General features: G+C 36.9%; 1 protein-coding gene and 1 long non-coding RNA gene across 9 annotated transcripts in view, besides 1 other annotated feature; one reads left to right on the forward strand and one right to left on the reverse strand.

Annotated features, from left to right (window-relative positions):
* CAVIN2-AS1 (CAVIN2 and TMEFF2 antisense RNA 1) overlaps positions 1-26,375 on the forward strand; it is a 217,342-nt gene that overhangs the window by 164,538 nt on the left and 26,429 nt on the right. The window contains exons 1-3 of one of the 4 annotated variants that reach the window (NR_187186.1): positions 17,130-19,655; positions 23,669-23,860; positions 25,660-26,096. This is a non-coding gene — a long non-coding RNA (CAVIN2 and TMEFF2 antisense RNA 1). Of the gene's footprint in view, positions 1-17,129; positions 19,656-21,495; positions 21,614-23,668; positions 26,097-26,375 lie in introns of those variants that run through there. The other 3 variants (NR_187185.1, NR_187187.1, NR_187184.1) reach the window with 3 other exon arrangements.
* TMEFF2 (transmembrane protein with EGF like and two follistatin like domains 2) overlaps positions 1-26,375 on the reverse strand; it is a 245,888-nt gene that overhangs the window by 61,980 nt on the left and 157,533 nt on the right. The gene's annotated exons all lie outside the window — the stretch shown is intronic.
* Positions 18,181-18,350: an enhancer, noted in NCBI's record as "active region_16884". NCBI's record gives its function as "activates an Ori minimal core promoter by ATAC-STARR-seq in GM12878 lymphoblastoid cells {active_cell/tissue: GM12878}" and the evidence as "EXISTENCE:reporter gene assay evidence [ECO:0000049][PMID:35858748]".

The raw sequence follows: 26,375 nt of genomic DNA on the forward strand, positions 1-26,375 counted from the left end.
TACTGATAATGGGCTGAATTCCTCATTGCAAGATTCATGGGTCTATGTATTTTTCACTAAACTGTGTGAAGAAAACGGGTTGGAGATTAAGTGACTATAGCTACAGATAAAGAAGGAACAAAGAACCTAGGAGCATCCACCCCAGGAAGGAAGCATTCCCCAATGATAAAGAGCATAGTTGGAACCCTGGACACTTACAAATCACTGAATAATTTACTGATTGGAAGGACATTAAAGAAATGCTGAAAAATCAAACAGGAATCCTCATTAATCCATTCATTCACTCAACCATTCTATGTGGAGTGGCTACTCTGTGCAAAACACTGTGCTAGGGGTCAGGGAAGGCAGAGGAACTTGCTAAATTCACGTAGCAAAGGATCCAGCAGAGAAGAATCAGCAAAGACTGCAAGGGTGGTAGGAAGACAAGAATGAGCTGGATAAACAATTGATATTATTCTTAAGCCTGAGTGTACAAAATGGTTTTGCTCTTGGCTTCATCTCAGAAGACTTTTTAAGCTGCATAAACAAATGTAGACTTTTCTTTCAATAATAGTAAGTGGATGCTACAGGAATATAATATGTTTTTTTAAATGGGTGTTTTGAATTACTTCTAAGAGGAAATATCATTTTTATGAAACCAACAAGCTATTGACAAACATTAGACTTATCAGTTATTACCTGAAATTTGGCAGTATTTTAATTACTGTAATTTGTTTGGTCAATGTATATATTATATATAGTGTGTAAGAGAGATCTGATTCATCTTTACCCAGTCTAGTCATCCATTTTATACATTGTCAGTCTTCTATTTTAAGCAAGCTCAGTTATAAACTCTAAATTCAAAATATTTTTTATTTTTACATATTATCTTTTTTTTTTGAGACAGCGTCTCGCTCTGTCATCCAGGCTGGAGTGCAGTGGCGCAGTCTCCGCTTACTGCAAGCTCTGCCTCCCAAGTTCTCGCCATTCTCCTGCCTCAGCCTCTCGAGTAGCTGGGACTATAGGCGCCCACGACCTCGCCCGGCCCACCACCAGGCCCGGCTAATTTTTTGTATTTTTAGTAGAGACCAGGGTTCACTGTGTTAGCCAGGATGGTCTCAATCTCCTGACCTCGTGATCCACCCGCCTCGGCCTCCCAAAGTGCTGGGATTACAGGCGTGAGCCACTGCGCCTGGCCTACATATTATCTTTTATCTTGTTTTCAAAATAAATATCTTTAAGTGTCACACTATATATGGACATAGCATAAAACATAAATTCTGTTTAAATAAGTTAGCTTATAGTTGATTACAATTTAAAATCACTGGGTGATAACTTTTGTTGTGTCTCTGAATAGTATGTGTTCTATACCTTTGTCACTGACATAAGGTCTACTGAGACTTGACAGTTATCAGGCAGGCAGATTTGGAGCATGCTTAGATAGATTATCATCACACACATATCAAGGTACAATGGGACCTGGGCCAACAAACCATGCAGGATACTTTCATTATTCATCCAAATGTTGTATTAGCTAGGGGCCCCTTCACAGGAGTTGAAGTTTAAGCTTATGTTTTCCTTGATAAAATGCTAGCCCCTAAATAAATGAACTAGTTTGTTCTCTAATTTAGGATTTTTTTTCCTAATCGGCAAAAGTACTTTTAAAATGTAAAGTTCTAATCAAAAGTAACAGAATATAATTAAAAATATGTAAAATATTTAGAAAGAAATGTGATGACTTTAACTTTGTATCATACTCATAGATTACAGAGTCACTTGGATCACAAAATACTCATTATAATGTTAGGAAAAATTACCAGTATATAAATTGGAATACAAAGGTATAGAAAAATTAGTAAAAATGTATACAAATTAAAAATACTCCTCCTTGATTATAGAAAAACCTAGAGGCTAGTCCACAATTAGGATACTAAGATGCTCAGGATATAAAAAACAGCAAAAGATAAGTCCATATGTATAAATTACCAGGGAAATAAGAGAGTTTCTGAATTGCTCTCCCATTTCTACTTGCCTTTCCTCAAGTCAGTTCATGCTGCAGCTAGGGCAATGCCTTTAAAATGTAAATGAGAATCAGTCCCTTGCTCAAAATCTAGCAAAGGCTTCCTTCCCCTGGACCTTAGAATAAAACTTGTAGTCCTTACCGTGGTTCATGAGGCCCTGTGTGATCCGGCTCTTGACTACCTATGCCATTTTATTTCTGATCAATCTTATACACTCTTTCCGTGCTCCAACCACACTAGACTTTTACTGCTCCTCCAACATGCCACATGCTTCTGCCACCAGCACTTTTCACTTGCTGTTCCCTCTGCCTGGAATGTCCTAATCTCAGATACTTGCATGGCTCAAATATTACTTTTCTAACAAACCTACCCTGAGTGCCCTATCTAACACAGCACCTATTTCCTCTCTGAATCATGGTATATTACATACTTTTTTTTTTTTTTTGAGACAGTCTCGCTCTATCCCCCAGGCTGTAGCGCAGTGGCACAATCTCACTGCACTGTAACCTCCGCCTCCTGGGTTCAAGCGATTCTCATGCCTCAGCCTCCAAGTAGCTGGAATTACAGGCGCCCACCACCATGCCCAGCTAATTTTTCTATTTTTAGTAGAGACAGGGTTTCGCTATGTTGACCAGGCTAGTCTCAAACTCCTGACCTCAGGCGATCCGCCCGCCTTGGCCTCCCAAAGTGCTGGGATTTACAGGCATGAACCACTGCACCTGGCCCATACTTGATTTTTTTAATTGTCTGTTTTCTTCACTAGAATGTACACTTACACATAGAAAGTGACCTTGTCTGCTTTGTTCAGTGTTGTACTCTTCACAACTAGAACAATGGTTGATGCAAAATAGGCACTCAATAAATATTTGTTGAAAAAATGAATAAGTAAATGAATACATTCTGAATTTAAAATATGCTTATATTTCAGTGATCTAGACATAAAGTTTAGATTCAAATTACATGTTAATTAGATCAATGCATATTGTTTTGCTCCAATTATCAAAAAGTATTAGTTCATTTATACATATGATAAATATTTGTTAATTTTTGTTAAATGACTAGCTCATAGTGGATGTGCAATAGATATTTGTTGAATAAATGGAGTACCTACCATGTACAGGTTATTAGACATTTTGGTATTTAATTACCAAACAATGGTCCAAATAGTCCTATTAGGTAGAACAGGTTATTTTAAACATGATGATGAATTTTGTGCCCTAATGATCAGTCTTCAGTAATCAATGTGAACGGTAAAGGTCCCCAGAGTTTGAGAGCCCTAGGCTACATGCAGTGCATACAATTAGCCTTTTCACTATCTATATACATTCTTAGTATTAAAATCCATATTATATAATTTTCATATTTTTTCATTGTCATGCCCAAAATGCTTTAGATTCTCTGTCTGAATCTCCTTATTCTGAACAAAAACTCAATCAGCCTTTTCTTTCAATGGTTAGTTAATCTGTACCAATCTTTGTTGTTAGTATCCTTAAGATCACCTATCCTTCAAAATATGACTCAATATTTATTCCAGAGGTGGAAAATGATTGAAGGTTACTGTCTGCTGTAAGCCTTTCCCAACTGAGCAGTTTCTTCTTTAGGCAATTCAGTATGTGTCTAATTTAAGTAATTTGATCATTTGATTATTCTGATCTGACTTCCGATTATACTTGCATCAAGACATCTATTTCATTTCAAAGATGCAGGGACAGCTACTGAGAAAGCAAATAAACTTGGGCCTGTTTTGGTTGAAACTACTTTCTGTGGGTTCAAAAGTTTAGGTAGAACAAGAGGAAAAATGAGTATCAATGTATTACTTATGCAACTATTATTAAATCATGAACTACAACAGAAGGATGTTAAATATTACATAAATACTTTGAAGTGAAAGATGTTGCCTTTTCACAGGCAATGTTTTTATTTTGACTATGATTTCCAGAGCCTAGTACTCATAAGGCATCTTTGCAGTAAATGTAGTTAATAAGGCAAGCAACTGCAAAGCGGATAATACCTCCCTTTGCATACTTAAAGAGACTTCTTAGGCAGCAATGTTCTTCTGCCTTTCTGATACACATGTTCTGCCTGGGGAGACAGCATGCTGTTAGGTTTGTGCCTAGTTAACATTAGGGATTGGGCTGTATCTTGATATATAAGGTTTAGGCTAAACAAAGATTTATAAAAATTGAATCTAAAGATGATAACTGTGACTTGTCATTGGAATATTTTTATTGACAGAGGGACATTAAAATGGTTCAATGGCATTCTAGAGGCTATCACTGAAGCTTTTTTTTTTTTTTTTTTTTTTTTGCCAGTCTGGTAATGACTAAAATGTATACAGGGTTTTAGATGCTCATTCCAAACTTGGTCCATTCAGCTACATAATCTGCGATATGTGTGCCCCTTTAAAATAATTTATGATTAAAGTCTGCAACTGTGGCTAAATTGCACACATTAGGGTCTACTGTTTTTTAAAGGCTAAAGAATGATTATCATATTCACGATGTTTTTAAACAGCAGAAAGCACAAGCCTTTAAAATATAATACACTTTGAAGTAATTGTATTTAAGCAGTCCACACTAAATAAAAGGGCAACTATATTTTTAAAAGATAATACATATGCAGGAAACAATGGTGACCACTTAATAAGTAGCTGAAAACATTTGAAATGTGACATTTAGGGGAAGGCTCGTTTCTATGAGAAAATACATGTGATTTTACTTGGTATCATATTGTGGAAAGTGGAACCAGAGCTGTCAGGTTACTTAAGAGACTAGGGTCCATTCTCTTTTCTTTGAAGCATAATGCCAGTGTCACAAATGTTGGTGTTGTCTCACTGTATCATAATACAGTGTCATAGTTCAAGCAATCACTGTCAGCCTAAACTAACTAAAAGTATAGGCTTATAGTCTTAGAAAATGATAGAAGTTTTCACAGGACAAGACACTTAAAATGAATGTTGATTAAACATAAGGTCTGTACAGAGATGTATCAATATATCTATTCAATGCCTTGGGTCACACAGAAAGGTACTCACTTTTTGGCCTATAAATTCTAAAGACTACTTTAAACAGAGAACAATGATGGTACCAATATTTGGGGTTGTGGCCATATCATAAGACAGAACTTGCACATGGACCAAAGCTGACAGCATCCCCTGAATTGAGAGATACAATTAACTCTTAAGAAAATCATTAGAAATCAGGGTATAGGGAGCTGAATGGGATGATTTTCATTTTCATTCAACATTGTCTAATTAATTGGTGAATACATGTCTACCTTTCTTTATTAACAAGTCAAAATTAGGTTAGATTGATCAAGGGTCATTTATTTTATAATCTTTTTGGACACTACAGTTTGATCATGGCAACCTAAAACTCTGCAGTAACTATCTGCATAAGGCACTCAATCAAATGACTAATATCATTTTGATCCCATGCCTCATCAACCGAAACATGAGCTGTGAGACACTAATACTGACTCCTGGCTTAAGAAGACCCTGCTCTCAGTAGATGAAATATGCCAAGGATCCTGTGAGTCCATCTTACAGCCTTTCACACTTTCATTCATGTTCTTTTAGCAGCTAGTTATTAGAAGTCCAGTAAAACTGGATGTTTCTCTTTTGCAGCCAAAGAATGAAAATCAGAGTCCAAAAGGTGCTATCCTCAAATGAAATGAGGAAAAAGAAGCTAAGTTGTGTTTTCTTGAGCATTACCAAATATTACATCTTCCAATTGAGTAATAAAGAAGTATGGCAGAAAGCTGTAGAAGAAAAATTGCAAAGCAGAATTTTAGTGTTTTCATTCATTTAGTCATTTACTCAACAGATCTGTGCTGAATATCTAACATGTCGCATCACTGTTTTTTTGGATACAAAGATGGGCAAGACAATACCCTACAATTAAGAGGAAAAGACAAAAAAATTAATTACAGAGTGTTGTTTTAGAGGCAAATGCAAGGCTGCATGATTAACTGAGCTTGGGGTGTGGTGGAGTGTCAAGGTTTCCTAGAGAAGGAATGTAAGTCGAGTAGGACTTGGTCGGGCACAGAAGTGGGAGACAAATCTCCAATATAGAGGAAAGAGTTTATGCCCAAACACAGAGGCATGAAGCCATTGTTTAAGGAGCTACAGGTGGCTTGGTAGAGCTGGAGGTTCCCATGCACTGGGGAGAGGAGTGCAGTGAGGCTGGAGAGGCAGGTGGGGCCAGGTCATGCAGCAGGTATATGACCTGCTAAGGACTTTGAAATTAACCATGTGGTAGGTGTATGAACTGCTAAGGACCTTGAAGACACAGGGAGCTTTGAAGAATGGGAGCAGAAGAATGACAGAGAGAGTTGCCTATTTTAGAAGTACCCTCTGTCAGGAGGAATAGGAATCGATTGGAGAGATTGAGACAGGAAGCAGGGAGACCAATTCAAAAGCCATATATCAATATAGTGGAGAAATGTGGAGGCCTGGATTAACTATCTCATTATGCCTTTTGGCAGCACTCACCATAGATGAACATTCTATTCTTTTTCTCACTTGTTGTGTTACCACTCTCGCTGGTTTTCCTTGTACCTCTCTTTCCCCCTTCTCAGCCTGTTTAATATCTCTTTTTATCTTTCATGCTTTATAGGTTGGTGTTCTTTAAAGCTCAGTCCTAATTCCCCTTTTTCTCTCTTTGCAGTTTCTCTATAGGCAGTCTCTTCAATTCAGTCTGATACGTTCAAATTTATTTCTCCAGGCCAGAATCCATTAGAACCCAACCACTAGAATTCAACTGCCTGCTTCATATATCCACTTGGGTGTCTCATAGGCACCATAAACTAACATTAAAAATTAAACACTTGTTCTTTTCTCAGAAATTTGCTTCTACTTGAGTTGACCCTCCTCAGTAATTGGCATCTACATCCACCTAGGCAAGTTAGAAGCCTATGAGCCAGAGTTGATATATCCTTTCTTACCTCTCACTGTAATCTTTCACCTCTTTACCCTCACTTTCTCCACTGTTACCTCAGGTGACAAGCTTATCAAAGATAACAAGCCTTTGGCTTGTTGATGGAGTCACAGCAAGAGATTGGAGGGGAGGGGGAGAATTTGTACCATTTGATTCTATGAGGATGATAAATTCTACTGGAGTCTGTAAGAATGCAAGCCTTGTTAGAGGCAGTTTTTGTTTATCTGAGTCTCAGATTTCTATTCTCTCTCAATAAACAAATATTCTTTCTAATTGGCAAACTCACTTGAGATAGCCAGGAGGAAAAACTATCTAGCTGTGTTAGAATTTCTATACATCACAGAGTGAGAGGTAAAGGGCTTCAACGTTTCCTCTTTGCTTTTAGCTTATCCTTATTATATTAAATTTCTTTTTTTACCCTTACATATTGAGACACCATAAATAACCACTTCCCGATTCTCCTTCCTTCTCAATTTTGCAAACATTTTTCACTTATTCATACGCTTTAATCATTTAGAGTACTTGATTTTCTTCCCCTCATTTTATTTTATTCAACCATTACTTAAAAGAGGATTTGACTGACTTCATCCTATTGAATTGGTGTCCTGTAGCTTGGCAATGCTGGGTGGGGATCAGCTGGAAATAGTGCTAGACTAAATCTCCTCTCCTCCTTCTTCCCCTCTTGCTCTTCCCCATCCAAATCCCCTGATGATATTCACTTGAAATTTTGATCCAATATATTTTCAGGCAGCAAAAGTATAATTATTTAAACATTTTAAATTCGTGAATTTGAGAATCTCATGTATTAACTGGCAAAATTATAGTTTTTCCATGAAATTAGGCAATTTTTTGTCCACTTGTATTTTTTTCAAGGTAGCAAAATAACTTTGCTACATTTATGTAGTAGCCAGGATATGCTGAGATCTTATTCTTAATTTGCTGTACTTATGTGATCAAATAAATTCCTTCTAGCCACAATCATATTAATATTATTATACAATATTATTATTCTCAATTACACACATTCAGACAACATCTACTGTAATGCTTGGTGTTTAAAGAAAAATCTTCTTAGAAATAATTTTACATTTTGTACATATCTATTATAAATAAAACGAATAAATAAAAGTAAATAAATAGTTGCTATTTTTCTATTAGACTGCCACTATCGCAATATATTATGTTGAATGTGTTCTTTTTTATGTTAATCATCACATGCCATCTATTTGATTTCAGTAAAAGAGTAGAAGTAGGCTATTTTTTTTTAACTTGTACTATCAGAACTCTTAAAACATAAAAGATGGTAATAAATTACTCAATACATCTTCATTAGAATCATTATTGAGAAGTATTATAAATATTTTTAGTTAGATAAGTTATACAAAATTTGTTATTTCAGCTCACAGTGCCCTCAAACATATAAATAAGTAGTTGCTGATCTCACTTTGGCTAAACAATTTAAATAACAAAAAAAATAAAGCCACATTGCATACCAGGAAATTGACTTAATTCTGAGCTTAAGGAAGGAAAAGATAACTCTACTATAATGGATGCACATTTAGAAAAAATAATGTTAATGTAAAAATAGCTTTGAAAATTTGTTTTTAGAATTGCTTCCTTCCTCTGAAATGATGATTATAACATGCACAAAATATTACATTTTTAAATGTTGTCTTTTTTTTTTCTTTTTCAGGGTCCTTGTATTTTGCATTGGCTTTTCCTGATGATATATTAAAGTTTGCACATTTTTCTTTACTAAGAATAAAGGGCATTGAAAAGGTGCTGGATGGTGATTCAATAGGACAGGCGCGGTTAATCAAATAATTAGAATAATATGTAAACTATGTTCAAAATGATTAGAACACTACATGGAGAATTGGTTTTGGATGATGAGAATTATTTTAAAGGCCTTGAGGTTTCATAATGTGAAAATTTTACTGCAGTTATACTATTTTTCTTTGCTCACATAGATAAAGTGTTCTCTTTCAGAAATGTGTCTGAGCAGATACACACACTAAAATAGTAGGTTTCATACTATGCTTCTAGGAAACCATTCTGTTGGGAGCACAACCAAGATGTTCTGCCACTAAAATAAAATAATAACAGCTTTTTTCCAGGCTCTGAGGAAAACAAGCTAAAAAAGAAATTGTTCTGAATTGTAAGTTTTTCTTCCCTACCCTCTTTTCCCTAGTATTGTTGGTTCTTCAATTTGCCTAGTGGCATGTGCTGCTAAATTTGACAAAATGAATGAACCAAGAATATGTAAGAAGCAAGGCAAATCTTACATATGTTAATTCTCAAATATATGTTATGAATCATTACTTTTTATGTGTAGAGACTTGCATACATATAAAAAGTCATATTTCTGCAGGTGAATTTCCTTCTAATTCAGTTCAATTAAAATGTCGTTATTTCATGAACATTTTCACCAAATATCAAGATTTTCAGGTGCTCAAGCACTTAAACATGACTGCAAACCACTGAATTATAATGCTAAATTTACTCATTTTATATATATGTATATACTTAGTATAAATTGCAATCCAGATATTTTCAACTATATTTGAGAATCAGGAGTAAGTATGATGATTATATCTTATATCATTTGAGCTCATGAATTTCTCTGAAATAGCAAAGAAAATACAAATAAGTTAGAAAATGGATTAGCCCATCTCTGTGTTGGGAAAGTTATTTTCAAAAAGTGTTATGGTAAGGGATACTATTAATGGCTGCATATCTAATTTAACTTGAGACCTTGAAGATGGTCTCTAGTTTGCATTCCATTAAAAGTTTTTAATAAGATTTCAACAAAAATAATAGTAAAAGCATTCCATTTCACCTTTGCTTCTCCTTAACAATTCAAAGTATCAATTATAATATAACCTTCATTTGACTTGCAACCATCTCTGTGTCTGTGCTTTCAACAGCATATTGAATTGTATGCTAATACTTTAAGGGCAAAATACATTTCTTGTTTTACTTTTGAACTTTTGTTCCATTTTAAAGTGACCTCTCAAATGTGTAATACTCAACAACACTTTATCTATTTAATAGTTTTTCTTAAGCATTGATCATTCAGAGTAGTTTGAAAAGCATATTAAAAAGTTTAAGAATACCTAGTCCTCCCTTACATCTTAAAGAGAGACTGTATCTTTGCAAGCACAGGTGTTGTCTTTCTTTTTAAATTCTCACACCAATACTACTCTGGGGTTGAGGACACTTACTTACTCAATTTTCTTTGATTTTACCAGTCACTTTCCTAGGAGAACTGATCACAGGGCTCTTAGAAGAACTAGGCTGAAGCAGAACATCAAAGAAAGAAAATAGAATTTTGATTATTGAAGGTTCCAGAGTACTTTCTCCCTTTAGATAAGTATAGAAATTAAGAAAGGGAATAGAATAAAATTTGAAAAAGTAAGAAAAATGAGAAGATATAGAAAATGAGAAGATATAGAAAAAGACAAAGGGTGAAACAGACACAAGAGAATTATCTTTCAAAGCAGACTCTACCATTCCTCCTAGGTACTGATTTTGTGGTATGTGTGGGCCCCAAACTGAAAGAACAGAGACCATAGTAAACCTGAGAGCAATTTAAAGAATAACGTGGCTAGAACCAAAGTGGAAAGAAGAGATAGAAAGGTAGTGTGATAGAATAACATGCAGGACTCCATGTGCCATAACTAAGTGACAAGACGCAAGCAAAAGTGTGAATTTGAGAACTGCCCCCAAGAGCATCATAGTACATGGTAACATTGGGCTGTGGAGAAGAACTTCAAACTGAAAAGGAGCAGGGGCAGATGGAGGTGTGGGAAATCTAAGGAATTTTGAAAATCTGTGTGAGCTGAAGTAAGGAGGATAGATGTCTTCGGATACGAAAAAAGCAAATACAGGAACTAAGTCCTTAGCTCATAGCTTAGTTCTTTCATAATTCAGTTGCCATTGTTCCATTGTTGCCTGGAATTAAGATTTGTAGAAGAGAAGCCTGAGGTCATTCTCATTTTTGTTCCTTTGTAGGTATCTAAGTTGCAACTGCATTTCACAGAAATCCTCTTGTGCACGGTTTTGGGTTAGTGTTGGCCATAAGAGAATTGTCTGGAAGTGAAGCTATACCCATTAGTCTCTGCACATCTATGGAGGGTGCCAGGTGCACCTGCTGATCACACTGATCACTGCTGATCTGTTGCTGCCTCAAGTTGTTGGTGTGGGGCAGCAGGGAGGCCTGCAGCATCTCAAGCTCCCACTAGATCTCCTCCATAAGCCTCTCTGAGTCCAAACCCAGGTGGGTGTGCAGCTTCATAGTAAAGGTTTCATCTTCTACAGGTCATCCTCATCATTGAAGTTGAAGGCTAGGAGAGAGAGATATGTGGTCCAGTTTGTCCTTGCATGTTCTGGTTTGTCCTTGACTCACATTCAACTTTTCTTCCTGATTAATAACCCTGTTAGTCTATAGTGACTTTGGGACCAACTCAACATGCAGAGGCAACCCCCTACCATGTTCTACTTTATTACTTTAGCAGCTCTCACAAATGTGTAGGGGCTTATTCTCATGAAACATCCCTAATTTTGTAACATTAGTAGTGGCTTTGTTTCTTTGGTAGAACCCTTCTGATAGAGGAAGCAAAGTGTTTCTTTGTACCTGGATATTTGTCAGTTTTTCTTCTCTGTCTTTATAATTAAAATCTTATTTTATGATATATCTTGGAGTGGGCATCTATTCACTAATTCACTGATTTTGCCTGAGATTTTTTCTTTTAATCTGCACTGAGTTTTTGTTTTTTGGATTTACTTGGACTCAGGAAAGCAGTTTTTGAGTCATCTCTTTAGTTTCAATTGTTTATCAATAATAATAATACTTACTCTTTATTGGATGTTTACTACTTGCCAGGAGCTGTGCTAAGTGCTTTCTAGATAAATTACATTCTTTATCTTATTACAATAAGCTTATGAAGTAAGTATCTCCCAATCAGTCACACTAAGTATTATGTTTGATTTCCTTTTGTTATGAAGTATGGAAGATAGAAAAGACATTGAAGATTTTTTTATCTTTTTTTTTACTTGCTTATTCATCTTTGAATAAGTCCTGATTTACCTAAACCTAGTTTGCCAATATGCAAGTTGTACGGATTGTGATTTATGCTATTTTCTGTTTTCTTGCACACTGGCCATATTCCCTTATTTGTCTATGTTGGCAGGTTGATGGACAAAGTTCTTAGTTCAAAGCCGAGTGCCTAGGCTTTTATCTAAAATGGCTGACCTTTGCCCTCTAAGACATGAATAGATTGAGTACACACAAATCTATAATCATGGATATTTTCAACATCCATGACTCTGCCTATATTCTCTACCTCTTCTGCCTGTAGCATTTTTTTCTTGTGGGAACTACATCAACACCAGGTACTTCCTATTTCTATGTCATGCCTAATTATACGCTAGGAACTGTAATTTCTGCCTGAGTTTTGAGAGAGAGGTGACAACTCATGGGAAACAGAAAGGTGATGACAGTATTATTTTTTTCTCCAAAAGCAACATCAATCTATAAAGGAAAGGCTGCACAGTTTTTGATTGGTTTGTCCTTATGTTCTTCAAAATAGGCTGGAGGTAGGGGTGGGCACTCTTTGTTTCTGCAGACAAAGAAATGGAGGGTGTTGATTAAATTTTTAAGTCCAGTTTTATTGGCTTTGCACTTATGCTAATTTGACTTTTTCATATCTCTGTCTGTCTGTTTGTTTATCTTCTATCTATGTTTCTATTTATTAGTTGGGAAAATTTCATTAGGTCTGCTAGTCAGACACAGAATTAAACTGGGAGAGCTTTCCTCTCATCACCTCTATAGCTCCTTTTTAGTGATATGTCTATTATCCTTAGATCACCTGACTTGGGGGCAGACTATACTCATTGGATGAAGGTTTAGCAACTTTCATTGAGTAAAGATAATCACAAGCTTCAAAGTGATTAAAAGGCATGCTAAAGAAAGATTAACACTAAATAGAGTGTTTCTTCTGGAATTCTGTGAAAGAACACTGCCAAGGGGACAGTTTGGGGATGAATGTGTGACAAATTCACAGATATTCCTTGTGACAGTCACAAATCTCCTATGCATATCTTTATGATTGCTAAGGCACAATATTCCCATATTTCTCTATTCATGTGATAATTTTGAATGTATTTCCCATAGATGAGGGTTTTCCATAGTTGATTTATCATAAATACTAAAATAGAATTATATTTTATGGATACTTCCCACTCTTCATTCTACTATAAGCTGCATTAAGTCAACACAAGCTGTATTAGGCCAACACATTATTTCAATTTATATATAGCATAAAATTGTATATTGTAAAAAATTCAGGAGTGCCCTTCAGTATTTTGTTCTTTTTGTTTTGCTTTTAAAAATATGATGGATTCTTGTTCTTTCATAAGCAGAAAGAGAGAAGCTTTACAATTTATCAAAGTAAGTGAAATGCTTCCTTATGTTAGCATGGTATAGAATAGAGCTGTGTCAGGCATGTGGAGAACACTGGTAGTTCCTGAATGAATTTAAAAACAATTATTCTACAGTAAAATTTTAAAATTTGAGTTAGAATTCACCTATTTTAAGTGTGCATAGCAGGCACATTTTCTAATAATGGAGACACGTTTTAAAATATATACTCGCGGAGTACATATATGGTTGGTGTTTCATGAGAGTTTTTCCCCATTAAGGGATAAGGAAGATGAATGCCAGAATTTTACTTTTTTAAGCACTTTATTTGGAGTCTAGCCTCGGCTTTATTTATCAATCGTCCAATGACTTTTGCAAAAACATTTTAAATTAAGCATCTATTTCTATGTCAATGACTGTTGAAATGCTGTAGCATGAAAGTCAACATAGACTGGACTATGAGAAGAATAATTCTGCCACCTCTTTATGCAGCAGAGTTTTCTAAATTAAGTTCATTGCATGGATAATTTCCTATAACCACAGGGAGCCAGAGTTGGCTGGTTGGCCAGGAGAAAATTAACGAAAAGCAGAGAGGCCCGAACAAAGAGGGAATGAATGAGGTATACTGTTGCCTATTATAAAGGAAATAGACTAATGCCAAGATGAAGGGAGGTGATCAGAAGTTTACTCACTCAGGACTAAGTAATGATCCGAGGGAAATGCATGGTAGTTAGTGAGGAATCCAGACTTCAAGCTATATCAAGCATTGTGTTGGTGATGGACAGAGTGCCTATGGTTGTTTTGTTTGAATGATGCCCACTTTTCTAGGACTGTTAATGGTGTGTTCAATTTCAATTTAAAGCATTTCTATTGAGCTTTTGAATTATTGATCGGGGATGATGAAGGATGAGCCTACAACCAAGTGTGAAGTTACTGGTTAAGCTGATGCTGGGTAAGGTCTTATCTGAGGCAAAAATTCAGCTAACAGAAGGGTTTTTTTTTTTTTTAATTTAATGATATAGCGTTCTTGTTAAAAACCAAAAACCCAAACTTGCTTCATAAGAAGACATGGAAAACAGCACAGTTCAAATCTAAGAAGTTGGTGCAACTCTCACTTAGGCATCACTTATAAAGTGTAGAAATTGTTTTCTGTGTAGCAAAAAGCAAAATTTCTGCTTCAGCATATTATCGTGGGGTATAAAATTCAGTACTTGCATTTTCTATGGGAAGAGATCTGTAGATGTGCCATAATAATAAAAAACTCTGTCTGGAAGCAATATGTTGATTTTTCGGCATATGTCTTTTTAAATTGGAAGATTTAGAATTGCATAAACAGATTCCTGGTGCTTCCTTCCTATTTAGGTGTGGTACTATTCTAAAATGAAGCAGGATATGGGATGGGTGCTAGCTCGAGGGGGCCTGATCCACAAGGGGGAGATACAATGTCTGAATGCAGGGCACAGATACAGCACAGCTGCTTTTGCCGCTTAATACAAAGAGAAAAATACATCCCTGACTGAACTATTTAACCAACACATTTATTTCTAAACTGCGGAGTTGACTTGTTGCTTGGTTATTCATACATTCTTACATAAAACATGATAAAAAGACAATGCATTTATTGCTAACATGCTGGGAAGAAAATGGTAAAGAAAAAAAATACAATTCATTGCTTGTGAACTCCTGCCCCTGTGCGCCCCTCCCCACCCTAAGCCCCCAAGTGGCTTTCACTTTTGCTCAGTTCACAGTATCATAAACCTGAAACAATAAATGTCAATCCTCTCTTGATCACACATTAGCCCAATAGGCGTTTTATTTTAACTAAACAGGCCACCAGTCACTTGGCTGCCAGACCTTCCTGGAGTTGCTCCTTAGGGTACAGAGTGCTTTGTTTTACTTAGGCATGGGAAGTGGAGGGAAAGCTCAAGTGTAAAGACAAAGGTGAAGGGAGGCATAACCCTATAGCAGCTCACTGTGGGTACTTTCCTGCTGTAATAGACGACTGTGTGTCAATGCACATTAATATTTGATGCGCATCATCGTTATCATCCTTTATGTGCCCTTTCACAATATTGTGAAGCAGCAAGGTTGCTTCAGACAAGGATTTATGTGGCCAAGTGCAGTGGCTTTTACTTGTTGAAATTAGCACACATCCTGTCCTTACAACGTCAAAAGGGATGCTTCTGTTTATATTGAATAAACAGGCAGAGGTTGAGTCCAGCCTTTTTTTAAAACACTGTATTATCTTGAGTGCATAAACAAGACTGACAAAACAGTTTTTCTTAAATGGCACACTGATGCATTCTGTATTCTGCTACTTGGAAACAAAGACTTAGCTTCTGTCATTATAAAAGACCCTTGAAACAGATCTAGAAGTGAAAGCTTATGCATTGTGGGATAGACCGAAGAAGAAAACTGAAGAAAATGCTTAGATCTACAAAGACTTCTGTTCATTTTTATTTTCTTTTTCTGAAAATTGAATACAAGCACTGGGAAGCATTATTTGCTCACACAATGCCTGACCACATGTGCAAGCCATTAAAAGGGCGTAGCTCCCCTGCCATTTTGATGCAGTCCAAAATAAAAATATAAATGCCAATGGAACAGTTTCTCCAGATATTCTCCAGCTGTCCCTTGTATCATTAATTTTCTTTTCAAGTACAATAATTCACCCCTAACAATAACTTAAATAAGATTTTTTAAGAGGTCAGAAAAAATCCATGTTTAGAGGGGGGACAGTTCATGACAAGGGGGAATAAAGAGAAATCAGTATATGTGGCTTGTGCAAAAATAAGGATCTGAAATAATAACGACAGTCTTAATCTTGCAATATTTGAGGAAAATATTAAGGTCAACTTCTCATTATGGTAATTTTTCACGAAGACTGATTACCAGAATTTAAATCAAAGTTCCACTGCATCATTAATTCACTTATTCATTCATTCCAAAAGCATGTATTCAGTCCTTGCTTTGTGTTGTATATTACATATGATAAAGGCATGTCAGGATATATATCAGAGAGGAGCGCTATCCTTAAGGAGATTATCACATAGAACAGTATACAAAATAATATGTACATGAGTAACTATATAGAGAGTATACGAAAGAAAAGAACAAGTCAAAACAGAAAGATGATGTTGGATGTGGCAGCAACATCTAAAATGGTCCTCAAGGGTCTTGCCTCCTGGTATTCATGCCCTTGTGTAATGCCCTACCCTTGAGTGTGGGCTGTAACTAGTAACTATTCTTGTAAAACAGGAGAAGTGATGGGCAGGGCTGGCTTTACAGGCATGTGGCCAGTGCACACAGGGCACACAGAGTCCTGAACTTGGTTTAATGTTCTGTTGTCATCAACTTGATATTCTTAATCATTTTAGCTTTGAATTTTGTAAATGAAGTCAAGTGAGACAATGGATCAGAGCATGAGCTCCATGAGCTGTGTTCAATATGTGTGTCTGCCTCCTCCCCTTGCCACCTTGTTCACATAGATGGTTCTCAGTGCCTCATGAGCGCAGGATTCTGGTGACCCCATGAGTCATGGGAACTCGTGAGACTCAAAGCAAGTACAAGGTAAGTGCTGTTATGGTTTGGCTGTGTCCCCACCCAAATCTCATCTTGAATTTAACTCCCGTAATTCTCCTGTGGGAGGAACCTAGTGGGAGTGATTGAATTATGGGGGGGGGGGGGGTCTTTCTTGCACTGTTCTTGTGATAGTGAATGAGTCTCATGAGATCTGATGGTTTTAAAAATGGAAGTTTCCCTGCACAAGCTCTCTTTTTGCCTGCTACCATGCATGTAAGAGGTGACTTGCTCCTCCTTGCCTTCTGCCATGATTGTGAGGCTTCCCCAGCCATGTGGGACTGTAAGTCCATTAAACCTCTTTCTTTTGTAAATTGCCCAGTCTTGGGTATGTCTTTATCAGCAGTGTGAAAACAGACTAATACAAGTGCATTACTTCTATGAGTAAGTAAGGAGGAAGCAGATTGCCCCAACAAGATGCCTCTTTTGTTCAAACCAGAGCTTGTTTATCACAGAGAAAGATGGCAATAATGTCCTGAGAAATACGAATGACCAAGGAACGCTATCATACTGTTTTGTGTGTGTGTGTGTGTGTGTGTGTGTGACTTCCCTGGATGTGTGGAAGTTGACTTCCCTGGATTAGCCAACCATTTATACTGAAAATTATGACACTGGTGGAAAAAGACAGGGCAGACTGTATTTTCTTTTCCTTTCAGTCATTTCTTATCAGCAAGCAAAGGTAGGCAGAGTTGGTAGAATGCGTGAGCATCATGATGTGCAATAAAAACAGTTAAATTCGTTTTGTGTAAGTTTCCACTATTCTTGTAAGAATGAAATACACATGAATGTATAAGCTATGAGATACAAATTGTGTAATTTTGGTGATTCTATATAAAAATTAGATGCTCTTATATTTGCATCTAAACCTGGCATAGTACAATATAAAAATGAATGGTAAAATTATGCTAATTATTTAAAATTTTAACCTTTCTCTACTCAGAATGACAAAGCAAGTAAAAATCACCATAGGAAGTCAAGAAAAAGACACCAACAGAAGAAAGAAAAAACCCTTTAAGGGAACTTCTTCCTGCTTTTTGAACTAGGGACTTCACATATTTCTTTTGCATTGGGCCCCACAAATAACAGGCCACAATGATGCTATGTTGCTTCCAAGACTAGATTATAAAAATAATACTCTGGCATCCACCTCTTCTCCCCCTCCCCCCACGTCCATTCTCTACCTACCATCTCTTTCTTAGGGGTTGGGGGAAGGGAGGGAATTTCAGCCATTTTGTCAAGACACCTTGGCCAACAACCACCAAGAGCCTGAGTATTGCCAGCAGACGCATGAGTGAGCTTGCAAGTGGATCTTCCCCCTGCTGAGCCTTGAGAGAACTGCAGCCCTGGCTGACATCTTGATTGCAGTTGTAGGAGGAACCCTAAGTCAGAAGCACAGCTAAGCCACACCCAGATTCCCAACCCACATAAACTCTGAGGTATAAACATTGTTGTTTTAAGCTGCTAAATTGTAGGATGATTTGTAATGCAGCAATAGAAAAGGAATACATTGAGATTCAGTGGAATGACAGCTTCCTCCCAAGGACTGAGGAAGAGTCCTCTGACCTAAATCTTTTAGGATGAGCATTTCGTGATGGAGGAAGTGGCATCACAGGTAGAAGATGCTACGTAATCTAGGCCAGGACAACATTTCCCAAACCACTTTCTCACAGAACCCCATCATAATCTTAAAAATTATTGGAAGACCCCAAAGAGCTTTTATTTATGCATTCTATACATATTGATATTTATCATATTAGAAAATGCAATTGAGGCATTTAAAATTTGTATTTATCGATGGATTTAGAAACAATAACATACCCATTGCATGTTGAGATAGATAACATTTTTAAAAAAATGAATATGCTTTCTAAAAATAAATTCAGTGAGAAGAATGGCACTGTGTACATTTTTGAAAACCCCTTTAATCCTTGGCTTAATACAACAAAGCTGGATTCTATACCTGCTTCTTCATTGAATCTGTTGAAGAGCACATATCAAGTAGCCTCTGGAAAACTCCACTGTGCATTTGTGTAAGAATGAGAATAAAAAAGGCAAATAATATCTTAGTCGCTGGACCACACATTGAGACAAACCGATCTAGGGCATGGAGATGAGAGAGTCCAGAGCACATACTGACTAAACCATGTTGAAGAAGGAAAAATAAGGTTATTCTCAGAAGGCTTGCATATCATAGTCAATAGTTTATTCAGTAGAGGATTTGGCAGACATTATTTGCTGCCCATCCAAAAGCCATTTCTGCTCCCTTTCTTCCTTGCTAAAGAATCCTTGAATCTGTTCAGATATTAGAAGGTCATGAGTTGAGGGAAAGCATGTTGATTGGTGTTCCCTTTCCCATGATTGCTATAAGCACACATATGTGACACAACCATGGTGATGAAAAGAAATCAGCTGTGGTTGGTGGTGATAGCAAAGTGTAAGCTTTCATTGATACAGAGGCTTACTCATTTCTGCCTTTGGTTATTGTGCTGCTTCTGCTTGCTGTAGCCTTCCTGTTTCAATGATGAGAAGGCCAAAGGAATCTGTGAGCTGACCCAGAGCCCGCATGTTGTTGACAAGCCACAGAGTTGCCCAACCTCTTTTATTGTTATTTTGATTCAGGGAATTCCTGAAGATTCTGAAATTGTGAACTGACAAGCCCATGGATGTCTACAAAGAGTGAACTGATCACTGTGGGCTGGCCTTTGAGGCATCAGTGAGGTGATTATTAAGATAGTCAAGTTAAAGGTACTATGGGTCTGAACTACACTGGTGTCAACAGAAACAAAAAGAATACAGTAAATGTGAAAGAACTGTGGAGATAAATTTTTAGGACTTAGCAGCTGAGTAGATGGACATTGGCATGCACGGACAGGGGAACAGAAGGCAAGCATCAGCAATGGCATGGTTAATTCTTCGCCTGCATGATTAGAAGAATAGAACAGAAATACTGCAGGTTGGGCGGGGCGGGGAGTTGATGGGTTAAATTGGGACATACAGAGTCAAGAAACAGATACCTAAAATAGAGTGCATGTGGTTGGTGCTTACATAAATGTTTGCTGTGATCTGGGACAGAAATGATCTGATAGTCATAGGGTTTGTTTCCTCATCTCCTTCACATTTTTACTAAAATATTGCTGCCTTAGGAAAGCCTTCCTTGGTCATCCTATCTGAAATTGCAATATTCATGACCTACTTCCTTAACACTCTTGTCCAATATATCCTAATAAGTCCTGTGTCACTTCTACACTATTTTTTTACCTGAGCATTTATTTATATTAAACTACATATATGCTTACTTATTTATCATGTTTTCCTAATAGAAGGTAAGCTCAATAATGGAACTTTTTATCTGTTTTGCTCACTTTGTAGCTCCAGTGCCTGGGACAATGCCTGACACTTAGCAGACAGTCAGTGAATGTGTTATATAAATGAATGAATACTTGGAGCGTGAGAATCAGAGCGGCAAAAATATTTGTCCATAATATGCCTAAAGATAAAAACGGAAGCCTCAGAACTAGATAAGTGCATTGTAATTGAATGCTGAATTCACAGAGATAACATCTGAGATTTATTAAGCATCAAGTCATGTCTTAAAAATTTTATATACATTTTAGGATTTAACTCTTATAAAAATCCTGTGGGTAAGTACTGTTGTCTCTCCCACTTTACAGGTAGAGAGGCTGAGGTTCAGAGAGATTAGGTAACTCAACTAAGGTCAAAAAGTTGGTCAGGGAGCTGGGCCTTTATATAAAACACCAAAATGAGCCCTTGTGTAGAACCCTTGAGAGAGATTTTAATCTAATGGCTGCAATTTTAAATTGTGTTCAGTTGTGGTATGTAGTTTTTCAAGGAAGATGACCCACAGCCTTTCTTGCTTTCTGGCTTTGGAAAAGGTAGAGATGACCACTTAAACATTCAAGGAAAATAATCCCTGACTTTGAAATCAGAAGATCATTCAGATAATATACTTACTTATAATCATCCTCTCTAATGTCTGACTAAAGCAAGAGTAAAAGATTGACTGAACAGCAACAAATACTTTAACAGTTAAAAATAAAATTGATTGGTCTGTTGGAAACACAAAGCACTTTTAGCCCCATTGGTTTTCTACCTGAAACCAGAGTGAAGTGACCTGAAGGATCTCATAAGATATATAAGACCAGCAACTATAGGAAAGATGATACTTTTCTTGAAGTCATATATTGTCTAAGTTGAAGTTACATGACTTAGAAGGTCAGATGTGCCATCTTTTCCCTTAATGCCCCAGAGATTCTCTTCACCAAGAAAATGACTACATACTTATTTCATTTAAAACAGACTCAGCCTAGTGATGGTTTTCCTTCTTCTATAAAAAAGCAGGCTATTCATGAAGATAAGGACCCTTTTGGCTTTGCAACACGTTTTCAACATTTTACTCATGGACATGAGATGGTAAAACAAGATGAAAATGATTCTTTTATTGGGCATTCAATTAAAAAATGTCATGACTTTGCCATTAGTTTGTATAAATCCTAGAAATGAGTTTCAACGAGAGTGTGTTATTATGTTGGGAAAGAGACGGAAGTGTATAACCTTGGGCAGATCGTTTAACTTCTCTCTGCTTTACAGTTACAAGCGGTAATACAAAGAGACAGGATTATATGATCTCCAAGGTCCCATCCAGCCCATTTAACACGGTATGATTATTTGAGAGGCAATTTAATGAGGTAGTGAGAAGCCTGGGCTCTGGAGCCAGAATGCCTATGTTCAGATCTTGGCCCCCTTCACTTATCAGCCATAGGACATAGTGTAAGGAATGTACCTCCTAACAGTTTCTCCCCGTTTCCTCATCAGCAAAATCAGGATAGGAACACTCACAGGGTCCTTTTGAGTAGCAAACAAAGTCGTCTTTGTGAACAATTGCTGTTAATTTTATATTATAAATAAACCTGTTGTTTTTTTCTCTAACAACAACAAAGTAACTTTCCTAAGATTCAGGATGGTATGGTTTTTCTTGGTTTAAGCTCTTTATTTAATACCTACACTAGTATTCAAAGTATAAAAATAGATTAAAGCACTAATTTTGTTTTTACAAACCCAAACAATTGGTTTGATTGTGTTAATACCCACTCACCTCAAGCCCCCAGTAGAATAAGTGCTAACATGCATGGCCTATTTAAGTGTCTGCTTTGGAGTCAGATAAAGAATTTCTGTGATGAACTAAGACACTATCATACAGGTAATCAATAATGACAGAACAAATACGTTCCTCCAAATCAGTATAAATAATAAATGTTTAAGACATAGGCAAAGATACTTTTGAGATAAACTTCTTTAGATAAGCAATTCAAAGAAAACTGAGATTGATGATAGTTATTACGTATATTCCTAATAACTTCATATAATAGATGTTCAAATTCTCTTTATATGAATGAGAACCTGGTGACTCAGGAAGGTTAAGAAATTTGCATAAGGCCACACAGCAGTAAGTGGACACACCAAAATTTAAGCCAAGCAAACTGATTTTAGCAGCTCAGCTCTTAATTAGACTGCTTTTAGCACAAAAAAACCAGTTTGGATTTTTTTTTTTTTTTTTTTTACACAAAACCTGTGCTCTCTCAAAATACCAAGCTGCCTCATTAGATAAGTCTCTCCATACATCCATCTGTTTGGCCCTCCATCCATCAATCCATCCAAACATATTTTTCCCTATTAAATATGACCAGGAGGACTGGAGCTCTTGGTTCATGGTCAATGAATAAAGATAGGCAGATTTTTACATTTAAATTTTGATATAGTGTGATTATCCCACACCTATGATTTGGCTACAACTCAGTCACAAATTGACCATCTATCCTGGTAACAAGGCCTTTTGTTAGTGAGAATTCTCTAGTTAGTTTTTACTAACTAAAGAGGTTTGCACCTCTTTCTCCTTTAAAAAATCCTTTTTTTGGCCAGGCATGGTGGCTCACGCCCGTAATCCCAGCACTCTGGGAGGCCTAGGTGGGCAGATCACGAGGTCAGGAGATTGAGACCATCCTGGCTAACATGGTGAAACCCCATCTCTACTAAAAATACAAAAAATTAGCCGGGCGTGGTGGCAAGCGCCTGTAGTCCCAGCTACTCAGGAGGCTGAGGAAGGAGAATGGCGTGAACCCGGGAGGCGGAGCTTGCAGTGAGCCGAGATCGTGCCACTGCACTCCAGCCTGGGTGACAGAGCAGGACTCCATTTCAAAAAAAAAAAAAAAAAAATCCTTTTTTTATAAATATGATTTTGAGTATCAAGAAAAAATAAAATTTAATGAGTATGTTTTTCATTTACAGTTCACAAATCTTAGAATTCCAGTTAAAATAACAATCTCAATATAGTGTTAAGTACAAATCCTAAAATTTAAAGTTAGGTTATGAGAAGTAGTCAAAGATTGAGCTGAAAAATATATTCATTCCCTTCCCTTCCACTCTCCCATCACTCCTCCATGGGGAAAAAAAATCACGAATATGTTGCACGTTGTAGGAACAAAAATGGATTTACCTTTTTTGTCTTCTTTTCCTTTTACTAATCTCTACATTGGTAGGTCCTATATGGAAAATCAATTTCTGCTTTATTCTTGTAAGCTTGGTTTTATCTTTCTAAATATATTCTTCTTGTCAGAACCCAATCAAGCATTTTACTCTCTCCTGTTTATAAATTGTTGTCCTACTTTATAATTTTGGTTATGATTGTCTCTGGTTCATTTTATCCTTTGTCATAGGCATTGTGGCTCTGGAGACCTGGAAGCACTGCTAACTGTTCTCTCGATTTTCTGACGCTCGGCCACATCAACCTGTCATACTAGTTGTGAGGAGAAGTCAAGGACAGTGACACAGCCAGCCAGTCTGAGGCATTTTCCATCATCCTGAAGGAGTTGCCCTATCCTGCTTTTCACTGGAGGGGGCATGGATGGGTAGGTAAACACACCTGCCGTGAAGTTTCCAGTTCTATCCTCCTGCAAGGCCTTCGGGGATAAGTGTGTTAGAAGATTGGTCAGTATCATTTGCCAACTTGATGTCTCTTCCTTTTTTAATGATCCTTAGTTTCCCCACTGTTTCCTGTCACAGGATTCAATTTCACTCCACATTCATCCTTTCTTACTGGGCACTGATGTTGAGAGCATCAGGCAGGGTATAATGTTATGTTGCAGTAACAAACACCCTCAATATCTCAGTGGCTTAAAATGACAACGATCTTTTTTTTGTTTGTTTGTTTATGCTCTATATCACCCAGGGATCCTGGATGACAAAGCAGTCACCTACTTGAACACTGCTAATTATGAAGTCAGAAAGAGGAAAGTTTGCAGAGTTTTGTATTGGCAATCAAACATTCAGCCACAGGTCACAGTCTAGAACCAGACACATCAGTGTCCTCAACTGCAAAGTAGCCAGGAAGCAGCATCCCATAACACAGTCCTATGTCCACTGTTTTGGAGGTAGGAAATTGGAAATATTCAGTGAGTAGCACTGTGAGTAGGGCAGTAATTTCATTTTTTAATTAAACAAATGGAAGATGGCAGCTCCTCAGTTTTTTCTTCTATGGTTTATTTCTGATGTCTTATCTTAATTAATATATCCTGATATCTATTTCCCATTACTTAGTCTGTCCTTTTTCCCAATATCCAGTTATTTTCAGTAAATATTTTCTGTCATTACACCCAGCAGTCTAACTTTTTGCGACTTCAGTGTCTATTCTCATTCCTCAGTCCCAAATCCATTTTCTTTATTAGATTTATCTGAACTCCTGCAGCTCTTTCTGTCTGCATCACACAACTTAACCTTTAATTACTTGCCTACTGGGCATTCTACTTGGTTCTGCCTTTTATCAGCTGAATCAGAACATAACTTTCTCTCACCACCTCCCTCCCCTACTCCAAATTGACTTTACCTCCTGATCCCCTATTTCCAAAGTGGTTCCATTATTCTTCTCAGTGCTCAGCCTTAACATCTTCGTTTCTGTTTGACTTCTAATCTCTGGCATCTCATAATTGTGCAGTTACCAAACTCTCCCCCATGAACTCGATGTGCTCATGTGGATCAAATGACACAGTAAAAGTGAAAGCACGTTGTAGACTCCAAATACAAGAGGATACTGCTCTCTATTCCTTCAACTATTTTTCATTCCTTATTTATTTATTCATCATTCATTTATTCATGTAGTTACTCAAGACCTAAGTGTTTTCTTGGAACTGTGTTTGTTACTGAGGAAGCCACAAATTAAATATAAGTCTGCTCTTCAAGAGGTTACATTCCAGTTAAGGAGATTGCATATCCATATTTCCAGAAGTACCAATGTGATTGAAGCAAGGGAAATTGCTATGGGATATCTGACCAACTGGATATTCTGCTGGAAGAGCAGAATGCACTTCAAAGACTAGCCAATAAAACTCTCATGTAAGATATGTTTTTCTTTTTGTTTCTATTTAACTAATGAATAGAACCTCAGTGATTTAAGGAAAGGCAGGCCCATGATATGGAAAGAGAAGGGGATGATGATGATATTCTGGAATGGTCGTGCAAGGCTTCAGGAGGAAGTGAGAGTGATGATTGAATCATATAACTCCTGAATAAATATCTGGAATAAACATCTCCAGAATAAAACATCTGGAGGATTCTCAGTATACTTAGAATAAAATTGAGCCTCCTCATGAAGGCCTACTAGCACCTTCATGATCAAACCCCTTTTCAACTTTGACCTTCTTTCTTATTTTAGGGGCTCCTGACACACTGACCTCTGTCAGTTCCTTCAGCACACCAGGCTAATCCCCAGTCTTGCGCCTTTGGACCAGAGGTTTTCTTTGCTCAGAATACTGTTTCAACAGATCTTTGCATAGCTGGCTCTCGCTATTTGACTAAAATGTCAATCCTCAGAGAGGTACTCCTTAAATATCCAATCTTAAGTAGCATCCCTTTCTCCCAGGATCCTGTTTTTCAGAACTCTGTTTTCTTTTTAAAACACTTGTTATCTGAAAGGATGTCGTCTGCTTGCTTGTTTGTTCATTTCTTTATTGTCTATTCCATCTCACCCCTTCTCAGGATGTAAGCTGTTTAAAGGCAAGGACCTTATCTGTGTTACATGCTGTATTCCCAGGGCTCAGACAGAGCATGACCTATCGTATGTACTAAATAAATATCTCCTCATACTGTAAAGCTTTCCTGACTCTAATCTCTCTTTTGGGGACCATTACCAAGCCTCATTACTGGCTTCTTTCTCTTTAATGCCACTTTTACTATATAGCAAATGTTCTGGCCAGTGGGATGTTGCTAGAAGTGCAGAATGCACTTCTAAGACTAGCCAAAATAAAGAAAGAAAGAAAGAAAGAAAGAAAGAAAGAAAGAAAGAAAGAAAGAAAGAAAGAAAGAAAAACAGAAAACAGAAAAAAAAACCTCTCACTTAAGTTTTTTTTCTTTCTATTAAATTAATGAATA

This window comes from Homo sapiens, chromosome 2 (genome assembly GCF_000001405.40).
Source record: "Homo sapiens chromosome 2, GRCh38.p14 Primary Assembly".
Classification (NCBI taxonomy): Eukaryota; Metazoa; Chordata; class Mammalia; order Primates; family Hominidae; genus Homo; species Homo sapiens.